This window comes from Homo sapiens, chromosome 5 (genome assembly GCF_000001405.40).
Source record: "Homo sapiens chromosome 5, GRCh38.p14 Primary Assembly".
In the NCBI taxonomy this organism is placed as follows: Eukaryota; Metazoa; Chordata; class Mammalia; order Primates; family Hominidae; genus Homo; species Homo sapiens.
This window is the reverse complement of record NC_000005.10, coordinates 146599050-146623276: the sequence shown is the minus strand read 5'-3', so window position 1 is coordinate 146623276 and position 24227 is coordinate 146599050. Positions and strand designations below refer to the sequence as shown.

General features: G+C 42.0%; 1 protein-coding gene and 1 long non-coding RNA gene across 12 annotated transcripts in view, besides 1 other annotated feature; one reads left to right on the top strand and one right to left on the bottom strand.

Annotated features, from left to right (window-relative positions):
• Nucleotides 1-24227, top strand: part of PPP2R2B (protein phosphatase 2 regulatory subunit Bbeta) — a 500779-nt gene that overhangs the window by 458244 nt on the left and 18308 nt on the right. For all 10 annotated transcript variants that reach the window (NM_001271900.2, NM_181676.3, NM_181674.3 and 7 more), the window contains one exon: nucleotides 22817-22986. In NM_001271900.2, coding sequence (NP_001258829.1) covers nucleotides 22817-22986 — 170 coding nt within the window. The remainder of the gene's footprint in view (nucleotides 1-22816; nucleotides 22987-24227) is intronic.
• Nucleotides 993-24227, bottom strand: part of PPP2R2B-AS2 (PPP2R2B antisense RNA 2) — a 59059-nt gene continuing 35824 nt past the window's right edge. Inside the window, exons 2-6 of one of the 2 annotated variants that reach the window (NR_188288.1) lie at nucleotides 16057-16308; nucleotides 15460-15583; nucleotides 2766-2953; nucleotides 2226-2481; nucleotides 993-2037 (exon numbers count right to left, since the gene is read on the bottom strand). This is a non-coding gene — a long non-coding RNA (PPP2R2B antisense RNA 2). Of the gene's footprint in view, nucleotides 2038-2225; nucleotides 2482-2765; nucleotides 2954-6229; nucleotides 6342-15459; nucleotides 15584-16056; nucleotides 16309-24227 lie in introns of those variants that run through there. The other variant, NR_188289.1, reaches the window with a different exon arrangement.
• Nucleotides 12919-13559: an enhancer, noted in NCBI's record as "OCT4-NANOG-H3K27ac-H3K4me1 hESC enhancer chr5:145989281-145989921 (GRCh37/hg19 assembly coordinates)". NCBI's record gives its function as "activates a minimal SCP1, AML or CMV promoter by ChIP-STARR-seq in naive H9 embryonic stem cells {active_cell/tissue: H9 hESC(naive)}" and the evidence as "EXISTENCE:reporter gene assay evidence [ECO:0000049][PMID:30033119]".

Genomic DNA, 24227 nt, shown 5'->3' with positions numbered 1-24227 from the left:
GTTGAAATAGTGATTTCAAATGTTCTTATCCTCAGCATATCCTATGTGTACCCAAAAGTTCTGACGCGTAGCATTTTTCAGTTTCTGTTTATTGAGAATCTTTTGTGTTCGTGTCACTGTGGGGCCACAAAACCACAAATTTGTGTTAATCCAACGTACTGTTGCTTGCCCCTAGGGAGGTTATTAAGTACCGGAAGATTCCAAGGGCCATCCCTGACATTTCATGGATACTAAATTGTAGTTATTGAATGTATGAGTGAATGAGATGAGATCTAACATCAGATAAAAGGTGATATGTATCTCAGAATACACTAAGGCTATGAATTATAAGCTAAAACTCAGAATTGTCTCAATGTTAAACTTTTCTCCTGGAAGTATTCCTGAAATTTGTATGATCTATATAATAGACCCCAGTACAAAATGGTATACTGAGTTATATATAAGCTACTTTAAAGATAATGTCACAATATTTTATGGTGCTCTGCCCCATGACTTTTGTGTCTTGATCACAACTTGGGAACCTTGCTCTATAGAAGTTCAGAGAAGAAAGTGATTGTTTCCAACTCAACTTTTCAGAAAGAATATCAAGGGGTGGTGGAAGGGGGAGAGGGAGCAGAGCCTGGAATATGGGAACAATTTTGCCTTTTAGAGAATTTCAAATCCTACTGAGCAACTTCCAGCCACTAGGTGGCTTTCAGATACTCTGTTGAGGTTCATAAATTATAAAGGCCGGTTATAGGTATTTGTGAGATTCCTGTGGCTTGGAAACTTGGCTTTAATGAAGATAGAAAGAGGCTGTATATCATAGTGGTCAATAGTGCTGGTTCTGGGGTCAGACAAGCCCAGGTGTGGGTAACTTGGACTTAACTCCTTGGATTTACCCTCTGTACAGCTAAGTATCCACCTCTATAAAATGGGGACAATAATGGCACATGCATTACTGGATTGTTGTGCAGATTCAATGAAATGTCTGGTCCACAGCAAACACTCAATATTTTTTAGTATTTTATTATCAAAACAATTCATAAACTTGGAGTTACAGATGAGAAAATTGGGCCCAGAAAAAGCATGTTGTTTACACAAAGTCAAAGATCTAGGCAAAGGTAGAGGGGGCTTGAACCGAGGTCTAAAGTTGAATGTTGTCAGTAGATAATACCTACAAACACTTCCCATCTTTGCCTCCCCAGGCCTGTAGGAGAGGTAGCCAGGGAAGCCATGTACTAGGCAGAGCACAGAGGAACACAAGTATTTTTCTGGTAGAGTCTGCCCAGGCCTTGGGGTCTGTGTTTCTACAGAACCTGCTGGGGGAGTGCTAGAGTACACTGGGAGGAAGTACCTGAGCAGCAGTGGAGATGGAAAGGCCTCTTACTCTCTAACCAAGTGCAAAATGAGGACCAAGTACAACCTGTCTCTCCTTCCCCATGACCAAGTCATTAAGCAAAAGTGCTTGCTAACAGATAAAGCCTTTATTGTCTACAGTGATTATAAAATGTTTCTTCTCTCTGCATCAGAGGACAGTGGCCTCAAGTTCTAGAGTGACTGTGGAAGGGAAGGATAGCCCACGTGTTAATGGCATGTCTGGAGCAGGTAGTAGGTGCTCAATAAATTCAGTGACTGTTCTCCACATTGCCTCGGTACATTGTGTTAAGTCTGTAAAGAGATGGCTCCACTCTGGTTAATTCTCTGTGGTTGGTGAGATCACATAGCTAATGAAGCCCAAACCAGCGGTTTAATCCTTGCCAGTCCAATTTCTATTTGCTGGAACCATGCCTTCAGAGGTGTGGGGCCGCCAGTGTCTGTTCTCAGCACCAGGTTGAAGGGGCCACCCTTTCTAGTCAGAGGACTGGAGGAAAAATGATGCTATATGAGATGCCATAGAGCCAGAGTTGGGTTTACGTCCTAGCTCTGCCTCTTCTTAGCCTGTGACCAAGGGCAAATGACTCTCTGAGCATCATTTCTTTGTCTCCATAAAGAGTTTAGCGCAGTGCCTGGCAGATGGAAGACTATCACTACTCGATGTTTGCAAACTCCAGGAACCTTTAAGAAATGGATCAGTGGATTAGGAGCAGTGTTTTCCTGTAGAAAACCAGTACTGGGAACACAGAGGCAGACTGCCTGATCCATGAGAAGACAGTGAAGCAGTGACCAGCTCACACCAGGGTCCCTCCAGGCAGTGCTTGGCCCATGCCAAGATGGGCTGTCGTACTCAGCTGTGAACTGCTCACCTTGCTCTGCAGGGAGATCACTGTCAGTGGGGAGCTGCTCCTCTCTCCCTTTCTGTGCCTGTGCCTCTCATTGCAGTGATTATGTAGACAGCCTTGGAAACGGGGCAGCTTGGGAGTTCAGCACTGGCCTCTGCGGTGCCATGGCAACCAGCTTCCCAGCAATCACCCCTAATAATAGCCACTCGAGAGCTCTTCCACCTGGGCAGAGGCTCCCCAGGGAGTTCGGGCTTCTCTTGGAGTAACTGCACAAAGCTACCTGTTGGGAACAAATTATGAGAGGGAAGGAGGGAGGGGAGAGCATGCTATCTCAGGGGGAGAGACGTGAGAAAGGAGGCAGACAAGAAGTCTCTAGCCTGTGATGTGTGGAGTGGGCCCAGGGGCCTGGGGATGCTGCCATTGGGTTCCCGGAGCCCACTGGCTGTAGGAATGTGTAATTCCACAGTGGGAGGTAGAGGCCCATGGACACTTTTGCCACTCACCAACCTTGCAGAGAGTGAAAGACCAAATATGAGCGCTCATAAAGCCAGCCCTCGCTGTTACCAGATTTCTTCATTAGGCTCCTGTCGAGATGCTCACTGCCAACTCATCATCTTGTCTGGACTGCAGCCGCCTCCCTTACGGCTGCCTGCTGGAGAGAATGTGCTCAGAGGCCTCCTTCAATCAATATCTTTCCAGAATGACAGTTCTCAAAAAGGCACCAGTCCCGCTTGGCTAATAAATGATTATTCCTCACAAAAGAAAGACAAACAGACCCACAATTAATGAACTTGTCTGTACATATTAGCCCAAATTCAGTCTTTAGATTGACAGGCGAACCCTAAGCCAAACACAGGTTTTCGCTTCCCCTTTCTTTAGATCAGATTCCAGCTGAGTCTCCTTCGTAAGAAAGTTCTAACCCCACAGATAATGAGCCTTCCAATGCTGGGCTCACTCAGAGACCATATGGTCCTTTGGGTCCCTATCTCTCCAAGCCTCTGTTTCCTCAGCCATAATATAGAGATAATTCTTACCCTAGATGGTGCCCGGCAGGTAACAGGTGCTCTTGTTGTCACTGGTGTTGCCTTTCTGTGGGGCCAATTCCCTAACTAAAATTTTTTAACTCATTGTGAATCCTGAACAGATAATATTTAAAAATAATAGGAGGAAGATTAGAAGGTGGCCAAATTAACCAGTAAGGAAGAAAGGATGCAGTGGGCCAAGATTGTCCAGGAAGTTTTTCTAGAAAAAGACAGTGAGCCCTGAAGGTTGAATAGGAGCCAGAGAAACAGGGGAGCAGGGAGAGGTTAGGGAAGGAGCATGGATCCAGCCCCAGCACATGCCAGTGCACCACAGACATCACCATCATCACTGCAGGGAGTTAATCAGGTCACAGGTGTGGCCTGCATAGCTTACAGAGGACGTATGTTTGATCACACGCTCAAGTTTCTTTAGTTAGTTGCTAACATGAAAAAATTAGAGTTCCTCAAAAAATTTAGGCCTTACAAATTAGTCTGGCTGTGCTGGAGCCCCATTTCTGCATGGCTGCATTCAGCCGGAGCAGAGTGGAAATTGCCCCTTTATGGTTTTGTTTTGTTTGTTTGTATTTTGGGTTTGTTTTTGAGAGAGTCTTGCTTTGTCACCCAGGCTGGAGTGCAATCTCCGCCTACCAGGTTCAAGCAATTCTCCTGCCTCAGCCTCTGGAGGAGCTGGGATTACAGGCACACACCACTGCACCCAGCTAATGTTTGTATTTTTTTTTTTTTTTTTTTTAGTAGAGACGGGGTTTTGCCTTGTTGGCCAGGCTGGCTTCGAACTGCTGACCTCAGGTGGAAACTGCCCCTTTTATAGGGTGTGGACACTCTAGTTTGCCACAGTCCCTACTGTTCCCTATTGCTACCCATGAATGTGTCATCTATTTCACTACCTGCCTGGACCCTGGAGGTAGGAGTTATTCAACTCTGGTGCAAATGAGTAGTAGATGGGTCAGACCTCAATGGAGCATTTCAGCAGAATGAAGTAGAGAGTAATATTGGAATGCTGACCTAGGGCTTGATATGGAGCCCCTGAACCAGGACAAGGGGGTAGGACTGTTGGCTATCAGCCACACAGAGTCACTGTAGATGTCTGAGCACAAAGTGGCATTGCTTTGGGAAGATTCAAATATTTAGCACATGGTAGGATTGCCGGTCGTTTCATGTTCTGCTGCTAAGCCCTGATGTCTCTGAGGAGTTTGGCTTGCTCTGCCTTTGCAGCCGCTGGGTTCTGGTTTCTCTGAACTGTGTCGGCTTATGGGTGTACAGCACCAGCATCAGGAATGCTGGGAGGAAAGAGTGGCTGAGCTGGGGTTCACCAGCTCCCTTGGACAGTGAGCCTCTCATGGCCTCTGCCCAGAAGCAGCCCGCTCTGGCCTGCCTTCCCTGTCCAGCTGTATAGGGGCAGCTGCTGAAAGGGAACTGGCCCTGGGGTGCAGGGAAATAATAACAGCGGCTTTGCAGAGTTGAAGGGGGAATTCATGAACTTTGAGCCCTCCCTTTGTTGACAAACGGAGGAGGATAGTTTTCTATCACTGCTGTAACAAATTATCACATACTTAATGAACTTAGTGGCTTAAAATAACACAAATTGATTAACGTCCTTACAGTTCTGGAAGTCAAAAGTCAGAAGTGGGTCTCACTGGGCTAAAGTCAAGGTGTCAGCAGGGCTGTGCTCCTTTCTGGAGGCTCTAGGGGAGAATGGCTACCTGCCTTTTTGAGCTTCGAGAGGCTGCCTGCCTCCCTTGGCTCATGGCACCTTTCCATCTTCAAAGACAGCGGTGACCAGTCTTGTCTTTCTCATATACGGTTATTCAGACTTTGACCCTCTTGCCTTCCTATTTCACTTATAAGGACCATGGTCATTACACTGAGCCCACTCAGATAATCTAACGTAATCTGTCTTAAGGTTAGCTGATTAGCAACCTTAATTCCCCCTTGTCATGTAACATAACGTGGTCACAGGTTCTAGGGATTAGGGTGTAGACATATTTGGGGATGGGGGCAATGGCATTATTCTGCCTACTACAGGGGAATTGAGCAAGAGATGGCTGGCATGGTGGTTCACTCCTGTAATCCCAGCACTTTGGGAGGCCAAGGCAGGTGGATCACCTGAGGTCGGGAGTTGGAGACAGCCTGGCCAACATGGTGAAACCCCATCTCTACTAAAACTACAAAAATTAGCTGGGCGTGGTGGCACACGTCTGTAATCCCAGCTACTGGGGAGGCTGAGGCACAAGAATCGCTTGAACCCAGGAGGCAGAGGTTGCAGTGAGCTGAGATCGCGCCACTGCACTCCAGCCTCGGTGACAGAGCGAGACTCTGCTTCAAAAAAAAAAAAAAGAGAGAGAGAGAGAGAGATGAGAGGAAGCCCCAGCCATGGTAGATAAGAAGCCCCACTCTTTGTTGAAGGAGCGTAGGCATGGTATATCTCTTGCTCACTCTTGTAACTCTAGCACCTATCATAGTGCTTTACACACACTGGGTACTCAATACCTGTTGTTTAAATGGTGTGTGACACTAGAACTTGTTGACGTCTTTTTATGGGTACAGAGGTGTATATATTTATGAGGTACATGAGATATTTTGATTCACACATGCAATGAGTAATAATCACATTGGGGTAAACGGTATATTCATCACCTCAAGCATGTACTCTTTATGTTACAAACGATCTGGTTATACTCCTTTATTTTTAAATGTGCAATTAAATTAATATTGACTATAATCACCCTGTTGTGCTATCACATACTAGTTCTTATTCATCCTTTCTATTTTTTTGTACCCATTAACCATTAACCCACTTCCCCCTGCCCCCCAACCTCTGGTAACCATCCTTCTACTCTCTATCTCCATGAACTCAATTGTTTTGATTTTTAGCTTCCATAAATAAGTGAGAACATGCAAGGTTTGTCTTTCTGTCCCTGGCTCATTTCACTTAACATAAAGACCTGCAGTTCCATCCATGTTGTTGCAAGTGACAGGATCTCATTCTTTTTCATGGCTGAATAGTACTTCATTGTATATAAGTACCACATTTTCTTTATCCATTCATCAGTTGGTGAACACTTAGGTTGCTTCCAAATCTTGGCTATTGTGAACAGTGCTGCAACAAACACGGGAGCGCAAATACTTCTTCAGTATACTGATTTTCTTTGTTTGGGGTATATACATAAGGAGTGGGATTGCTGGATCATATAGTAGCTCAATTTTTAGTTTTTTGAGGAATCTCGAAACTGTTATTCATAGTGGTTTTTCGAATTTTCATTCCCACCAACAATGTACAAGTGTTCCCTTTTCTCCACATCCTCATCAGCATTATTGCCTTTTAGATGAAAGCCATTTTAACTAGGGTCAGATGATATCTAATTGTAGTTTTGATTTGCAGTTCTCTAATGATCAGTGATGTTGAGCTCTTTTTTGTATGCCTATCTGCCATGTGTATGTCTTCTTTTGATAAATATCTATTCATATCACTTGCTCATTTTTTTAAATGGATTAGATATTTTTTTCCTATAGAATTGTTTGAGCTCCTTCTATATTCTGGTAATTAATCCCTTGTCAGATGGGTAGTTTGCAAATATTTTCCCTCATCCTATGGGTTTTCATTTTGTTGACTGTTTCCTTTGCTGTGCAGAAATGTTTTAACTTGATCCCATTTGTTCATTTTTGCTTTGGTTGCTTGTGCTTGCGGGGTATCCCTCAAGAAATATTTGCCCAGTCCAATGTCCTGGAGACTTTCCCCAGTGTTTTCTTGTAGTAGTTTCATGCTCTAAGGTCTTAGATTTAAGTCTTCAATCCATTTTGATTTGACTTTTGTATATGTTGAGTGATTGGGATCTAGTTTCATTCTTTTGCATATGGATATCCAGTTTTTCTAGCACAAATAGTTGAAGAGACTGTCTTTTCCCCCAGTGTATGTTCTTGGCACCTTTGTTGAAAATGAGTTCACTGTAGATATACAGATTTGTTTCTGGGTTCTTGTGTTCCATTGATCTATATGTCTGTTTTTATGCCAGTACCATGCTGTTTTGGTTACTGTAACTCTGTAGTATAATTTGAAGTCAGGTAATGTGATTCCTCCAGTTTTGTTTTTTGCTTAAGATAGCCTTGGCTATTCTGGGTCTTTTGTGGTTTCATATAAATTTTAGGATTGTTTTTTCTATTTCTGTAAAGTCATTGGTATTTTGATAGGGATTCCATTAAATCTGTAGACTGCTTTGGGTGGCATGGACATTTTAGCAGTATTGATTCTTCCAATTCATGAATGTGGAATATCTTTCCATTTTTTGTGTCCCCTTCCTTTTCTTTCATCAGTGTTTTTTAATTTTCATTGTAGAGACCTTTTACTTCTCTGGGTAAGTAAGTTAAATCCTTGGTTTTTAATTTGTAGCTGTTGTAAATGGGTTTAATTTCTTGAGATTATTTGCTGTTGAGATCATTTTTGTATCTTGATTTTGTATCCTGCAGTTTTACTGAATTTGTTTTCAGTTCTAATAGTTTTTTTTTTCTTTTTTTTTTTTTTTAATTTTTTTTTTTATTATACTCTAAGTTTTAGGGTACATGTGAACATTGTGCAGGTTAGTTACATATGTATACATGTGCCATGCTGGTGCGCTGCACCCACTAACGTGTCATCTAGCATTAGGTATATCTCCCAATGCTATCCCTCCCCCCTCCCCCGACCCCACCACAGTCCCCAGAGTGTGATATTCCCCTTCCTGTGTCCATGTGATCTCATTGTTCAATTCCCACCTATGAGTGAGAATATGCGGTGTTTGGTTTTTTGTTCTTGCGATAGTTTACTGAGAATGATGGTTTCCAATTTCATCCATGTCCCTACAAAGGACATGAACTCATCATTTTTTATGGCTGCATAGTATTCCATGGTGTATATGTGCCACATTTTCTTAATCCAGTCTATCATTGTTGGACATTTGGGTTGGTTCCAAGTCTTTGCTATTGTGAATAGTGCCGCAATAAACATACGTGTGCATGTGTCTTTATAGCAGCATGATTTATAGTCATTTGGGTATATACCCAGTAATGGGATGGCTGGGTCAAATGGGATTTCTAGTTCTAGATCCCTGAGGAATCGCCATACTGACTTCCACAATGGTTGAACTAGTTTACAGTCCCACCAACAGTGTAAAAGTGTTCCTATTTCTCCACATCCTCTCCAGCACCTGTTGTTTCCTGACTTTTTAATGATTGCCATTCTAACTGGTGTGAGATGATATCTCATAGTGGTTTTGATTTGCATTTCTCTGATGGCCAGTGATGATGAGCATTTTTTCATGTGTTTTTTGGCTGCATAAATGTCTTCTTTTGAGAAGTGTCTGTTCATGTCCTTCGCCCACTTTTTGATGGGGTTGTTTGTTTTTTTCTTGTAAATTTGTTTGAGTTCATTGTAGATTCTGGATATTAGCCCTTTGTCAGATGAGTAGGTTGCGAAAATTTTCTCCCATGTTGTAGGTTGCCTGTTCACTCTGATGGTAGTTTCTTTTGCTGTGCAGAAGCTCTTTAGTTTAATTAGATCCCATTTGTCAATTTTGGCTTTTGTTGCCATTGCTTTTGGTGTTTTGGACATGAAGTCCTTGCCCACGCCTATGTCCTGAATGGTAATGCCTAGGTTTTCTTCTAGGGTTTTTATGGTTTTAGGTCTAACGTTTAAATCTTTAATCCATCTTGAATTGATTTTTGTATAAGGTGTAAGGAAGGGATCCAGTTTCAGCTTTCTACATATGGCTAGCCAGTTTTCCCAGTACCATTTATTAAATAGGGAATCCTTTCCCCATTGCTTGTTTTTCTCAGGTTTGTCAAAGATCAGATAGTTGTAGATATGCGACATTATTTCTGAGGGCTCTGTTCTGTTCCATTGATCTATATCTCTGTTTTGGTACCAGTACCATGCTGTTTTGGTTACTGTAGCCTTGTAGTATAGTTTGAAGTCAGGTAGTGTGATGCCTCCAGCTTTGTTCTTTTGGCTTAGGATTGACTTGGCGATGCGGGCTCTTTTTTGGTTCCATATGAACTTTAAAGTAGTTTTTTCCAATTCTGTGAAGAAAGTCATTGGTAGCTTGATGGGGATGGCATTGAATCTGTAAATTACCTTGGGCAGTATGGCCATTTTCACGATATCGATTCTTCCTACCCATGAGCATGGAATGTTCTTCCATTTGTTTGTGTCCTCTTTTATTTCCTTGAGCAGTGGTTTGTAGTTCTCCTTGAAGAGGTCCTTCCTATCCCTTGTAAGTTGGATTCCTAGGTATTTTATTCTCTTTGAAGCAATTGTGAATGGGAGTTCACTCATGATTTGGCTCTCTGTTTGTCTGTTGTTGGTGTATAAGAATGCTTGTGATTTTTGCACATTGATTTTGTATCCTGAGACTTTGCTGAAGTTGCTTATCAGCTTAAGGAGATTTTGGGCTGAGACGATGGGGTTTTCTAGATAAACAGTCATGTCGTCTGCAAACAGGGACAATTTGACTTCCTCTTTTCCTAATTGAATACCCTTTATTTCCTTCTCCTGCCTGATTGCCCTGGCCAGAACTTCCAACACTATGTTGAATAGGAGTGGTGAGAGAGGGCATCCCTGTCTTGTGCCAGTTTTCAAAGGGAATGCTTCCAGTTTTTGCCCATTCAGTATGATATTGGCTGTGGGTTTGTCATAGATAGCTCTTATTATTTTGAAATACGTCCCATCAATACCTAATTTATTGAGAGTTTTTAGCATGAAGGGTTGTTGAATTTTGTCAAAGGCTTTTTCTGCATCTATTGAGATAATCATGTGGTTTTTGTCTTTGGCTCTGTTTATATGCTGGATTACATTTATTGATTTGCGTATATTGAACCAGCCTTGCATCCCAGGGATGAAGCCCACTTGATCATGGTGGATAAGCTTTTTGATGTGCTGCTGGATTCGGTTTGCCAGTATTTTATGGAGGATTTTTGCATCAATGTTCATCAAGGATATTGGTCTAAAATTCTCTTTTTTGGTTGTGTCTCTGCCCGGCTTTGGTATCAGAATGATGCTGGCCTCATAAAATGAGTTAGGGAGGATTCCCTCTTTTTCTATTGATTGGAATAGTTTCAGAAGGAATGGTACCAGTTCCTCCTTGTACCTCTGGTAGAATTCGGCTGTGAATCCATCTGGTCCTGGACTCTTTTTGGTTGGTAAACTATTGATTATTGCCACAATTTCAGAGCCTGTTATTGGTCTATTCAGAGATTCAACTTCTTCCTGGTTTAGTCTTGGGAGAGTGTATGTGTCGAGGAATGTATCCATTTCTTCTAGATTTTCTAGTTTATTTGCGTAGAGGTGTTTGTAGTATTCTCTGATGGTAGTTTGTATTTCTGTGGGATCGGTCGTGATATCCCCTTTATCATTTTTTATTGTGTCTATTTGATTCTTCTCTCTTTTTTTCTTTATTAGTCTTGCTAGCGGTCTATCAATTTTGTTGATCCTTTCAAAAAACCAGCTCCTGGATTCATTGATTTTTTGAAGGGTTTTTTGTGTCTCTATTTCCTTCAGTTCTGCTCTGATTTTAGTTATTTCTTGCCTTCTGCTAGCTTTTGAATGTGTTTGCTCTTGCTTTTCTAGTTCTTTTAATTGTGATGTTAGGGTGTCAATTTTGGATCTTTCCTGCTTTCTCTTGTAGGCATTTAGTGCTATAAATTTCCCTCTACACACTGCTTTGAATGCGTCCCAGAGATTCTGGTATGTGGTGTCTTTGTTCTCGTTGGTTTCAAAGAACATCTTTATTTCTGCCTTCATTTCGTTATGTACCCAGTAGTCATTCAGGAGCAGGTTGTTCAGTTTCCATGTAGTTGAGCGGCTTTGAGTGAGATTCTTAATCCTGAGTTCTAGTTTGATTGCACTGTGGTCTGAGAGATAGTTTGTTATAATTTCTGTTCTTTTACATTTGCTGAGGAGAGCTTTACTTCCAACTATGTGGTCAATTTTGGAATAGGTGTGGTGTGGTGCTGAAAAAAATGTATATTCTGTTGATTTGGGGTGGAGAGCTCTGTAGATGTCTATTAGGTCTGCTTGGTGCAGAGCTGAGTTCAATTCCTGGGTATCCTTGTTGACTTTCTGTCTCGTTGATCTGTCTAATGTTGACAGTGGGGTGTTAAAGTCTCCCATTATTAATGTGTGGGAGTCTAAGTCTCTTTGTAGGTCACTCAGGACTTGCTTTATGAATCTGGGTGCTCCTGTATTGGGTGCATAAATATTTAGGATAGTTAGCTCCTCTTGTTGAATTGATCCCTTTACCATTATGTAATGGCCTTCTTTGTCTCTTTTGATCTTTGTTGGTTTAAAGTCTGTTTTATCAGAGACTAGGATTGCAACCCCTGCCTTTTTTTGTTTTCCATTTGCTTGGTAGATCTTCCTCCATCCTTTTATTTTGAGCCTATGTGTGTCTCTGCACGTGAGATGGGTTTCCTGAATACAGCACACTGATGGGTCTTGACTCTTTATCCAACTTGCCAGTCTGTGTCTTTTAATTGCAGAATTTAGTCCATTTATATTTAAAGTTAATATTGTTATGTGTGAATTTGATCCTGTCATTATGATGTTAGCTGGTGATTTTGCTCATTAGTTGATGCAGTTTCTTCCTAGTCTCGATGGTCTTTACATTTTGGCATGATTTTGCAGCGGCTGGTACCGGTTGTTCCTTTCCATGTTTAGCGCTTCCTTCAGGAGCTCTTTTAGGGCAGGCCTGGTGGTGACAAAATCTCTCAGCATTTGCTTGTCTATAAAGTATTTTATTTCTCCTTCACTTATGAAGCTTAGTTTGGCTGGATATGAAATTCTGGGTTGAAAATTCTTTTCTTTAAGAATGTTGAATATTGGCCCCCACTCTCTTCTGGCTTGTAGGGTTTCTGCCGAGAGATCCGCTGTTAGTCTGATGGGCTTTCCTTTGAGGGTAACCCGACCTTTCTCTCTGGCTGCCCTTAACGTTTTTTCCTTCATTTCAACTTTGGTGAATCTGACAATTATGTGTCTTGGAGTTGCTCTTCTCGAGGAGTATCTTTGTGGCGTTCTCTGTATTTCCTGAATCTGAACGTTGGCCTGCCTTGCTAGATTGGGGAAGTTCTCCTGGATAATATCCTGCAGAGTGTTTTCCAACTTGGTTCCATTCTCCACATCACTTTCAGGTACACCAATCAGACGTAGATTTGGTCTTTTCACATAGTCCCATATTTCTTGGAGGCTTTGCTCATTTCTTTTTATTCTTTTTTCTCTAAACTTCCCTTCTCGCTTCATTTCATTCATTTCATCTTCCATTGCTGATACCCTTTCTTCCAGTTGATTGCATCGGCTCCTGAGGCTTCTGCATTCTTCACGTAGTTCTCGAGCCTTGGTTTTCAGCTCCATCAGCTCCTTTAAGCACTTCTCTGTATTGGTTATTCTAGTTATACATTCTTCTAAATTTTTTTCAAAGTTTTCAACTTCTTTGCCTTTGGTTTGAATGTCCTCCCGTAGCTCAGAGTAATTTGATCGTCTGAAGCCTTCTTCTCTCAGCTCGTCAAAATCATTCTCCATCCAGCTTTGTTCTGTTGCTGGTGAGGAACTGCGTTCCTTTGGAGGAGGAGAGGCGCTCTGCGTTTTAGAGTTTCCAGTTTTTCTGTTCTGTTTTTTCCCCATCTTTGTGGTTTTATCTACTTTTGGTCTTTGATGATGGTGATGTACAGATGGGTTTTCGGTGTAGATGTCCTTTCTGGTTGTTAGTTTTCCTTCTAACAGACAGGACCCTCAGCTGCAGGTCTGTTGGAATACCCTGCCGTGTGAGGTGTCAGTGTGCCCCTGCTGGGGGGTGCCTCCCAGTTAGGCTGCTCGGGGGTCAGGGGTCAGGGACCCACTTGAGGAGGCAGTCTGCCCGTTCTCAGATCTCCAGCTGCGTGCTGGGAGAACCACTGCTCTCTTCAAAGCTGTCAGACAGGGACACTTAAGTCTGCAGAGGTTACTGCTGTCTTTTTGTTTGTCTGTGCCCTGCCCCCAGAGGTGGAGCCCACAGAGGCAGGCAGGCCTCCTTGAGCTGTGGTGGGCTCCACCCAGTTCGAGCTTCCCGGCTGCTTTGTTTACCTAAGCAAGCCTGGGCAATCAATGGCGGGCGCCCCTCCCCCAGCCTCGTTGCCACCTTGCAGTTTGATCTCAGACTGCTGTGCTAGCAATCAGCGAGATTCCGTGGGCGTAGGACCCTCTGAGCCAGGTGTGGGATATAGTCTCGTGGTGCGCCGTTTCTTAAGCCGGTCTGAAAAGCGCAATATTCGGGTGGGAGTGACCCGATTTTCCAGGTGCGTCCGTCACCCCTTTCTTTGACTCGGAAAGGGAACTCCCTGACCCCTTGCGCTTCCCAGGTGAGGCAATGCCTCGCCCTGCTTCGGCTCGCGCACGGTGCGCACACACACTGGCCTGCGCCCACTGTCTGGCACTCCCTAGTGAGATGAACCCGGTACCTCAGATGGAAATGCAGAAATCACCCGTCTTCTGCGTCGCTCACGCTGGGAGCTGTAGACCGGAGCTGTTCCTATTCGGCCATCTTGGCTCCACATCCAGTTCTAATAGTTTTTTGGTGGCATATTTAAGTTTTTTCAAATACAAGATCATATCATTGGCAAACAAGGATAATTTTACTTTTTCTTTTCCAATTTGGATGCCTTTTCTTCCTTTGTCTGATTGCTCTATCTAGGACTTTCAGTACTATGTTGAGCAACAGTGGTGACAGTGGGCATCTTTGTCGTGTTCCAAATCTTAAAGGAAAGGCTTTCAGTTTTTTCCCCATTCAGCGTGATACTAGCGGTGGCTCTGTCATATATGACTTTTATTATTTTAAGGTACGTTTCTTCTATATCCAGTTTTTTGAGGGTTTTTCTCCTTCATTCTGTTGATATGACATATCACATTGATTTTCGTATGGTGAACTGTCTTGCATCCCTGGGATAAATTCCACTTGGTCATGATGAATGATCTTTTTAATGTATTGTTGAATTCGGTTTGCTAGTATTTTTTTGAGGATTTTTGTATATATTCATCAGGGATATTGGCTTATAGTTCTCTTGATATATCTTTGTCCGGTTTTGGTATCAGGGTAATACTGGCCTCATAGAAGGAGTTTGGAAGTATTCCCTCCTCTATTTTTTTGTAACAGTTGGAGTAGAATTGACATTAGTTCTTCTTTAAATGTTCGATATGGGCTTGGTGACTTCTGACAGTGTACCAGGCACTGTGCTACATGTCTTGTTTGTTTTTGAGACAGAGTCTTACTCTGTGGCCCAGGCTGGAGTGCAGTGGCATGATCTTGGCTCACTGCAACCTCCGCCTCCTGGGTTCAAGCGATTCTTCTCCCAGGTAGCTGGGACTATAGGCATGCGCCACTATGCCCAGCTAATTTTTGTATTTTTAGTAGAGATGGGGTTTCACCATATTGGCCAGGTTGGTCTCGAGCTCCTGACTTCGTGATCTACCTGCCTCGGCCTCCCAAAGTGCTGGGATTACAGGTGTGAGCCACCATGCCTGTCCTGTGCTACATGTCTTATTTGCTTTTATCTCTTTTCATTTTTATAACCAGGCAAATAAGATATTGATGTCTACATTTTAAAGATAAGTTGCGTCTTAACAAGATAAGGAAAACTGACAAAGACAATCCAACCTGGAGATGATGAAGCCCAGGTTCTAGCCCCAATATGTCTGACTCCTAAGTTCATTCCATGTACCATCCTGAGAGATGTAGTTTAGGAAAGAAATTTGCAGTTTAAGCAGAAATCTCATCTTCCAGCCCTTCTACATGATCTCATGGTGCTACCAGTCCTAGGGGCCCACTGTCCCACAAAAATGCATTGATCACCCCAGGCATTTATTCATGCTGATTCCCCTGTCTAGATAGGATGCCCCCTCCTACCCCTCAAACACCATTATCAGGGCTCAGCAAACTATGGCATACAGCCAAGTCTGACTCACAACTTTTCTTTTTTACAACTCTAGCAAAGAACAGTATTTTTACATTTTCAAATAGTTGAAGAAATCAAAAAAGAATAGTGTTTTATGACACATAAAAATTATACAAAATTGAAATTTCAATGTCCATATGCAAAGCCTTCATGTGGGATACATGCTCATCTGTTTACATATTGTCTATGCTGCTTTCACACTACAAAGGCAGAGTTAAACAGTTGTAATGGAGACCAGATGGCCCTCAAAGTCTAAAATATGTACTAACCTCTTATCTATCCAGTGCTTCTTGATCATTTAAGGCTCAGCTTCTTATTAAGTCTTTCTTGGTCATACCAGCCCATTTGCTCCTCACTTCTCCCCACTATGAATTTTTGGTCTGTTTTTCCTGTCTGGGAAAAGAAAAGGTTTTGATTCATTATTTCTTAACTTTGAATGAATGATTAGTTGTTAAAAGACATGTTGTAAAAGAAGTATAGTAGATGCAGAATTATTTTGAAAAGTTATGTAAAACTTAGGGACCAATATAATTTCTTCTAGATTAACTTTTCATTCTTCATCACGCTATGCATTGTATGCCTTGTCTTGTTAAAGTGTCACTGTCAAACAACTGTTTGTTGAATTAATGGAGGGCTATATGAAAAGCAAACTGCAAGGGTTAAGCAACTTGGTTTCATTATTTCCCAATTCAGAATCCTTCATCTGAGTCTTAATACGATCTAAATTTGCAGTCTCCAATCTGTGTCTGGAGACTATGTCATTAGGCCCCTGGTAGCACAGTAGCCACTAATTAAATCTTAAACCTCTTCTCTCACTGTCCTCAGCTGGATAAAGGCCAGTATTGTCAGTCCGAGGGAGTTCTTACCCTCTGTGGGAAAATTGTTGGCCGTTTCTCTCACTGGGCAAAATTATTGGATGTGTCTTCTGTATAGTAAAAATTACTGGCTGCATCTCAATCGGCGAGGCTTTTCTCTCCAGGGGCAAAACTGTTGCCTGCATGTCTCTGAAGGAAAATTGCCATCTGCCTCACTCTGTAGGAAAATTGCCAGTTGTGTCCCCATTATGGAGAAATTGTCAACCATGTCTCCAAACGGAAGAACGTGCCAGCCGTGCTTCCCTGTAGAAGAAATGTCAGCAAAAGTGAGCAATTTAAAGCCCTGCGCATGATTCCGAGCCCGTTCCTTTTTCATCGTGAGCGGACCCTCATGTCCCACTGGCTTGTTTCCTGTACACTCACTCTCATCTGCCCGCGTCATCACAGCCAGGGTGGGGGTGACATTGAAATGAGAGACACTTGGACCAAGGAGGTGTATTTCAAGGGATAGTTCAGAAACAAGCTAGTATGTGTCTGTGTCGCAGCCCAGACAGAAAACCCAGAAATCAGTACCACAACTGGTTCTTAAGATCTGCCTCAAACGGAAAAACACTAGGCTTTTGGACTCATTGCACACCAAGCTTGCCTTAAGCAATGCCTACTTCTGCATTACTGCTGCCTTCCCTATTGTTTTGGGTACAGACGCTTTGCTAAGTGATTCACAAGCAAGATCTCGTCTATTCTCACAACCGCCCTAGAACATAGGTACTACTATTATCTCCATTAAATGAAGCTTGGAAGGAGTCAAGCTGCTTGTTCAAAGCTCCATCATTTATAAGCAGCAAAGCTGGAGTTTCAACCCAGGCCACTGTGTTTGGAACCACCTATACTGTTAGTCACCACACCATCTAAGACAGAGTGAACAGGCCTTCAGGATCAGCTGTTAGTGGTCTTGGGCCCCTCCTAACCCCTCTACATGGGCATGAGTTCCTGTGAAATTAATGAAGGTCCAGTGTAAGGTCAAGAGAAAGGAGCCACACCCAGCAACAGCCTGCACCTGTGGTTACCTAATCTCTCTCTTCTCCTATCCCCAGAGTCCACAACCAGCTCACTGCATGCCTCCTTTCTGCCCTTGCTCCAGTTGTAATGAATGCTGTTTCACTTTAGGTTTCTCTAAAGTTGGCAGTCTTCTTCTTAATTCTTTCTCTTATTTTTGAATTCTTGAATAACTGAATTCAAGATTTTCCCCAGATTCTGGAACCTTATTTATTTACCCAGTCATCTGAGCCCTTTCAGGGGGCTCCCACAAGATACTTACAGCTCCATGGAGATCTATTCATATCTGTACATGTTATAACAGAAAACACGTCTACACAAGGCACATAAGATAGCCTATGGAATTTTAAAGGCAGTATTCAGTTGTTTTGACTATAGCAATATAACCCAAAGTGTATTCTGAGGAAGCCTGTACTAGAAAAACACTGAGCTGCAAATGATTTGCCAAATAAAAATAAAATGGAGTGGGGAGAAAGGTATGATCAAATAATACTCTGAAGTAGGATTAAAGCAGTGATTCTCAACCAGGGGCAGTCATGCCCCCTGGGGAACATTTGGCAATATCTAGAGACATTTTGGTTGCCACATGTGGGCAGATGGAGTCAGCAGGGCAGATCTAGTGAGTAGAGGCCAGATATGTTGCTGAACATTCTATAATGCCCCAACAATAGGGTAATTGCGTTGTCAACTCCCAAAATTGTCGAGGTTTCCCAAGCTTATTTGACTTTGGAATCTGGAATGCCTGACATATCACAGGTTGAACATTTTGCTGAAGTCACTTTGGAAAGGCTACCTAGAGTAGTGGGGATTAGGAAAGGGAAATGGAAAAGCCAGTGGAATTTCATAGATTTTAGAATCCAACAGCTGGGAGGGACCTGGTAGGCAACACTTACTCCTTCATATTACAGAGAAGGAAACAGGGTCAGAGAGTTGACAGTTGCTGAAAGCCACACAGATGAGAGAGAGTAGGACAGAGGTTAAGAACATAAGCTGGAAGTATACTGAGTTCAAATTCTGCCTCTGTTCCTACTAGCTGTGAGTTGTACCTGAGTTGACTGATTAGACTAATTTGTGGAAAAGTACTAAAACCTATGAATAGTGAGTGAGTTAATACATGTAGAGCACACAGCACAAAAGCTCAGTAGATGATAGGTATTATCAAAAGCCAGCCTGGACTTGTGCCCAGCCTGGATTCCAGCCCAGCATCCCTGAGTCTGATGTTCTTTCCAGTGTACCTGGATGGGCACAGGAAGAGGTGAGGAGCAACAGAGGCACCAAAGTGGGACTATACAAGGTATATCTAGAATGTGAGGAATCCTGGTTTGACTTGTTTGAACAGGGAAACAATATTGACAAAGCAAGGCAAGGCCCTGTTGTGGAGGTGGTGTGACAGATGGGCAGAGTCAAGAGCCCATCTCTACCACTGCCTAGCTGCATGATCCTGGTGACTTACTGAACCTTTCCTCCTGGTCTGTCTCCTTATCTACAAATGAGAAGAGTGATAGTACCTTCCTTAGAAGTTTGAGCATTAAAATGCAATAATGTATTTAAAGCTTGAGGACCAAGAAGTGGTAGCAAATGTCATTATTGTTGTTACTGTTACTATTGGGGTCTCCAAGACATACGCTCCTGTTGGTGAACCTGACATACCCCCAGTGGCTAGGACTGGGCTATCAGGTTTCTCACCAAGACTGCTTCCTTACAAAGGGAGCAAAGCTCTTCTTGTCTCTCCCTTAGTTCTCTTCCTCTCTCCTCTCAATGTCTCTATTTTCTGGTAGCTAATTGGAAACCTTGCAGGTCAGCAGATTCTCTACTGTCATGCCAAGCCAAGGGTCTCCAGGAGAAAGGCTAGTGTTGATTTGTCCTAAGTTCTATCACTCAGGCACCAGATACTGTTGTTCAACAAATTTTGCACATCTCTGATATTGCAGGGGGCATGAGAAGTAAATTTTATGGAACACACACTGGTGTTCCATTTACCTTCCACTAGCCAGTTCCATAGCACCATGATTTCCGTCTGATAACACAGTAAAATCACACTTATTCACAACTGTAACCACATTTGTGTGATTGCTAAACATTTGTCCCCTCCTCTATCCTGTGAGCTCACTAGGAGTAGTGCTGGATCTGTCTTGTTCATTATTGTGTCTTTAGCATTTGGTACAGGGCCTGGCACGTATCGAAATACTTTTTACTTGTGGACTCTAGCTAATATACTATATTGTGCATGTGTGTGTGCCTGTGCATACAAGACACTTAACTTATAAATGAATGCTCAGCAAGGTCTTCTACATGGCATCATGATTAAGAACAAAGATTTTGAAGTCAGATAGATGTGAGTTCAAAATGCAGCTCTATCTCAGTGTGTCCCTGGACTGGTTATAAAACCTCTCTGTGCCTTAGTTATCCACATATATAAAATGAAGAATCATAATTCCTACTTCATAGGCTGTTTTAACAACTAAATGAAATAAAACATGTAAAGCACAGGGCCTGCAGTATTATAAGCTTCCCATCAAAAGTAATTATTAATACTATTAAATGCTATTACCCAAGGAAGGAAAATAATTCCTGGAGCTGCTATTAAAACTTGAATATACATAGATATGTCATGAACTACAAAGTGCTGTGCTGGTATGTTATCTGTACCTTGCCCTCTGTGTGCTACCTAAAGCCGGCACTCCACAAATAAATGGTGGTAGGTTGATTGAAGAATTGTCATCTTTCATTTCACATCCATCTTGTGAAGGTGTCATTGTGAGGCTTTACAGTGTTGCTGCACTGGCTTCCCAATATGCCAAGTATTTGGGAAACAGATTCCTATGTATAACATTGAAAGGCACCATAAACATATACAATTTTGTTGTCAATTTAAACATTATAAAATAGATTTGAGTTTAAAGAAGAGAAAATGTAAACATTCTTTATGTCTTTCAAATAGTCCGCAGGTTCTGTACTCCTTGGTCCCAAATTCTCAAGAGTCTTGTTGAATGAGATATGACTGGCCAGCACAGAAGCAGTGCATGCTGAAAATGAAAATAGTGATGGCATATACTGAGGACCTACTGCGTACCAAGCTTATATGCCAAGCAATGTGGCTCCTCTTTTTGCAGCTGGGAAAACTAAAGCTGGAGTAGTAAATAAAATGATCATGGCTAGTAACTGACAGAGGCAGGAATTGATGACTCCAGAGCACAATTTACTAAGCCCATCCACTTTACTGCCTCTGGATCAGGTGTTTTACTTGGAATTTCCAAACCTCCAATACTAATGACATAGCTGTTAGTTGAAACTAATGTGAAAATTTTCTTCCTATCTAGTTCTCAACTATGAAGATACCAATCAGAATCCAGGGGCCTTCACTAATACTCAGCCGAAGCCCAAAAGCTGAGGGCAGAGACTAAGACATTGGGTCAGAGGCTGTAATAAGCCATGTTTTTCTGTTTCAATGATTTTTTTAAAATTTTTGCAATTTCAATTCTGATTGATCAGGGCTTTTGTTGCTATTCTCTTCAATGGTTCTGTGAAAATTAACGTTTTGGCTTAGTTCACGGTTTAATTCAGCAACTTAATTATATACTTGGGTTCTTTATATAGAATTCATTACTGACTATGCGAGTGCATTGAGCAGGCAGGAAAGAAGTAGTCTTGGAGGATAAGTTAACTCAGCAACCTGCAGGCCAGTGTTTGGTTCAGCCTAAAATTGTGATATAAACCCTTATTCGGTTTAGCCATACACAATTGCCATCTTTGTAGGTCAAAAATAATTGAATGTCAGCAAATGCATATGTTTCAGCTGAATACTATACATGCTAAGCACCCAGAAGGCAAAGAATCTGTTAATTTATCTGGCTTTGGCTCCAGTGAAGCAACAAATATTCATTGAACATTTGTGAGTAAGACTCTGAATACGAAAATAAGACCAAAATCCTGTTCTCAGGAAGCTTATGTCCTAGTTGAAGAGATAAAACAAACTCATCAGTTGTTAAAATAATAATAATAATGTGAAAAATGATAGTTCCATTGTAAGAGAGTACCTGAGCAAATACTAAATAAATGACCAGACCAAGCATGATAGGGCTTCAGAGAAAAGAAAAGATCATTTGGGGTGAAATAATATGTAGTAGATGAGGTATATGCATCAAAGAGTATTTGGATCAGTGAAGAAAGAATCAGGCAATGAATAGAAGTGGGAAATATCGAGATATACTCTATACATCCAACTTAAAATCAAGGTAGAAAGAATTAGAGGCAGTTTGTGATGGGCTCCAATAACATACTGAGAAGCCATGCCTTTTTCCTGTAAGTGGAAATCAGCTGAAGCTATTGAGAGAGATAATAAGAACCTGGATATCAGTGCAAATAGACAATCCACACAAAAGACATTGTGGGTTCAATGTACACTATTTGGCTAATGGTTACACTAGAAGTCCAGACCTCACCACTATGCAATATATCTATGTAACAAAACCACACTTGTACCCATTAAGTTTATACAAATTTAGAAATTTTGTTAATTTTAAAAAGACATCATAGTTACAGTTTACATATAAGGAAACCTAAGGCACAGAGAAGTATCTTGCCTAAGGTCACACAACAAGTAAATGACAGGCTTAGACCCAAGGCAGTCCAGTAAGAAAGCACCACTTTTTTTATTTCTTCCTTTTCTGAAGACAGGATCTCGATCTGTTGCCCAGGCTGGGGTGCAGTGGCCCAATAGTAGCTCATCCACCCAAGTAGCTGGGACCACAGGCATGCCCCACCATGCCTGGCTAACTTTTTATAGCAATAGAATCTTCCTATGTTATCCAGGCTGGTCTTGAAATCTTGGGTTTAAGTGATCTTCCCGCCTAGGCCTCCCAAAGTGCTGAATACAGGCATGAGCCACCACACCTGGCCAAAGTTTCACTATTAAACACCGTGAGCCAACAAGAGAAATGAAAACATATGACCAGACAAAAACTTATACATGTATAATCATAGCAGTGTTATTCCTAGCAGCTAAAAAGTGGAAACAACTCAAATGCTCATAAAATGGATAAACAAAATGTGGTATATTCATACAATGGAATACTATTCAGCCATAGGAAGAATGAAGACCTGATACATGCTACGACATGGATGAACCTTGAAAATTTTATGCCAAGTAAAAGGAGCCAGTCCCAAATGACCATATATTCTATGATTCTATTTATGTGAAATTTCCAGAATGAGAATCAGAAAGTAGATGGTGTTTACCTAGTACTATAGGAGCAGGGAATGGAAAGTAACTGCCAATGGATATGGAGTTTTTGGGGGGAGGTAAAGAACATATTCTAAATTTAGATTATAGCAATGATTTTGTGATTATACTAAAAACTACTGAACTCTACATTTTGTGGTATGTGAATTGTATCTCACTAAAGCTGTAAAACAAATTTTTTTAACTATCTTAACATGACTCCAGATTTTGTGCAGTGACACCCAGATACCAAGGGAAACAGAAACAGAGTTAGATACATAGATCTGTCAGTGCCAGATCTATGATGGGACGGGTCCCATGCCAGTCCTTCCATGAGAATTAAAATCCAGAAACTAATGACAGCTTTTTCCGCTACCAGAGAGATGACAGTTCTCTATTAGCAACTTACATTCTGCAGACACCAGCCCTACTTAAGACTCTCAGTTACACTGTCAGCTTCCTAGCCAGTCCAAACATGTTAGAGTCAGTTGATAAGGATTGCTAAATTTGTCTTGTTTTGCTTTTGTTCTGCAGTTTTTGAAGAGCCGGAAGATCCAAGCAACAGATCATTTTTCTCTGAAATTATCTCTTCGATTTCGGATGTGAAGTTCAGCCACAGTGGGAGGTATATCATGACCAGGGACTACTTGACCGTCAAAGTCTGGGATCTCAACATGGAAAACCGCCCCATCGAGACTTACCAGGTATAGAACCCCAGGCACCCATAGGTATATTGAACATTCCCTTCATGAGCTTTTAAGTCAGCCCCTGCTTCCAAAGGTTTACAGTGCAGCAAAATGGAAGGCAATGCATGGTGATACATTCAGTAAAATGGTACAGGCTATAAGTGCCACAGGATTTAAGATAACGGTACATGTGGAGAGGCTAGAATTCAATTTAATTGATATGGACAGAGCACTTCATGTGGAATGGACACTATAGAGGTAAACAAATGGTCCTGCTCTCATGCAGCTTACCATCTGGTGGAAAAGTCAGATGATGAACAAGGAATTGAGTGTGCCTCTCTGCAAGAGATGGTCCAGCCAGGTGAGAAAGGTTTTCCCAAAGAAGTGACCCTTAAACTGAGTCTTAACTGCCATGAACTAGTCAGGAAATGCATGCTCTTAAAATAGTGTGTTCACATGGACGCAGGAAGGGGAACATCATACACCGGGGCCTGTCAGAGGGTGGGGGGCTCAGGGAGGACTAGCATTAGGAGAAATACCTAATGTAGATGACGGGTTGATGGGTGCAGCAAACCACCATGGCACATGTATACATATGTAACAAACCTGCATGTTCTGCACATGTATCTCAGAACTTACAGTGTAATAATTAAAAACACAGTGTGTTCAAAGGCCTGGTGTCAAGAGAAATGAGGTGTGTTCAGGGTGCTTACACCTTGAATATGAATCACAAAGGCAGAAGGATGAGCCTGGAGATAGAGGCAAGGGGCTGATCACTAGGCCCTGGTAATATACAGTAGGCTGTTTTGCCTGTGGACTGGGTACAATGGAGGACCATTAAAGTTTTACACCAGGAAATAACATTGTGAGTTTTACTTTTTACTGTGTGTTTCACTTTGCAGTTTGCCAAACAGACAATTTAGATAAGAGGAGATGATGGCAATTTGGTCTGGTGATGGTAGCGTGCAGATGGAAGGATGGGTAGGATGAAGAGTCAGTGAGGTTTGCTTACTGATCAAATGTGCAGGGAGAGGGAATCAAGAAGACTGTGTGGAAGTTTTGGATTTAAGTGTTGGGTGGATGGTGTAAATGCAAGGAAACAAAGGAAAAGGCATTGTATAGGGTGGTTTTGTTGAAAGAGGAAGACCAGACTTTGAAGTAGAGAGGACTTAAAGAAGCAAAATCCAGGTCCAAGCAAGAGTATAATGAAAGCAAAGATCAAGTGCTGGAGATAAACTAACCCTATTTTAAGCTATTTG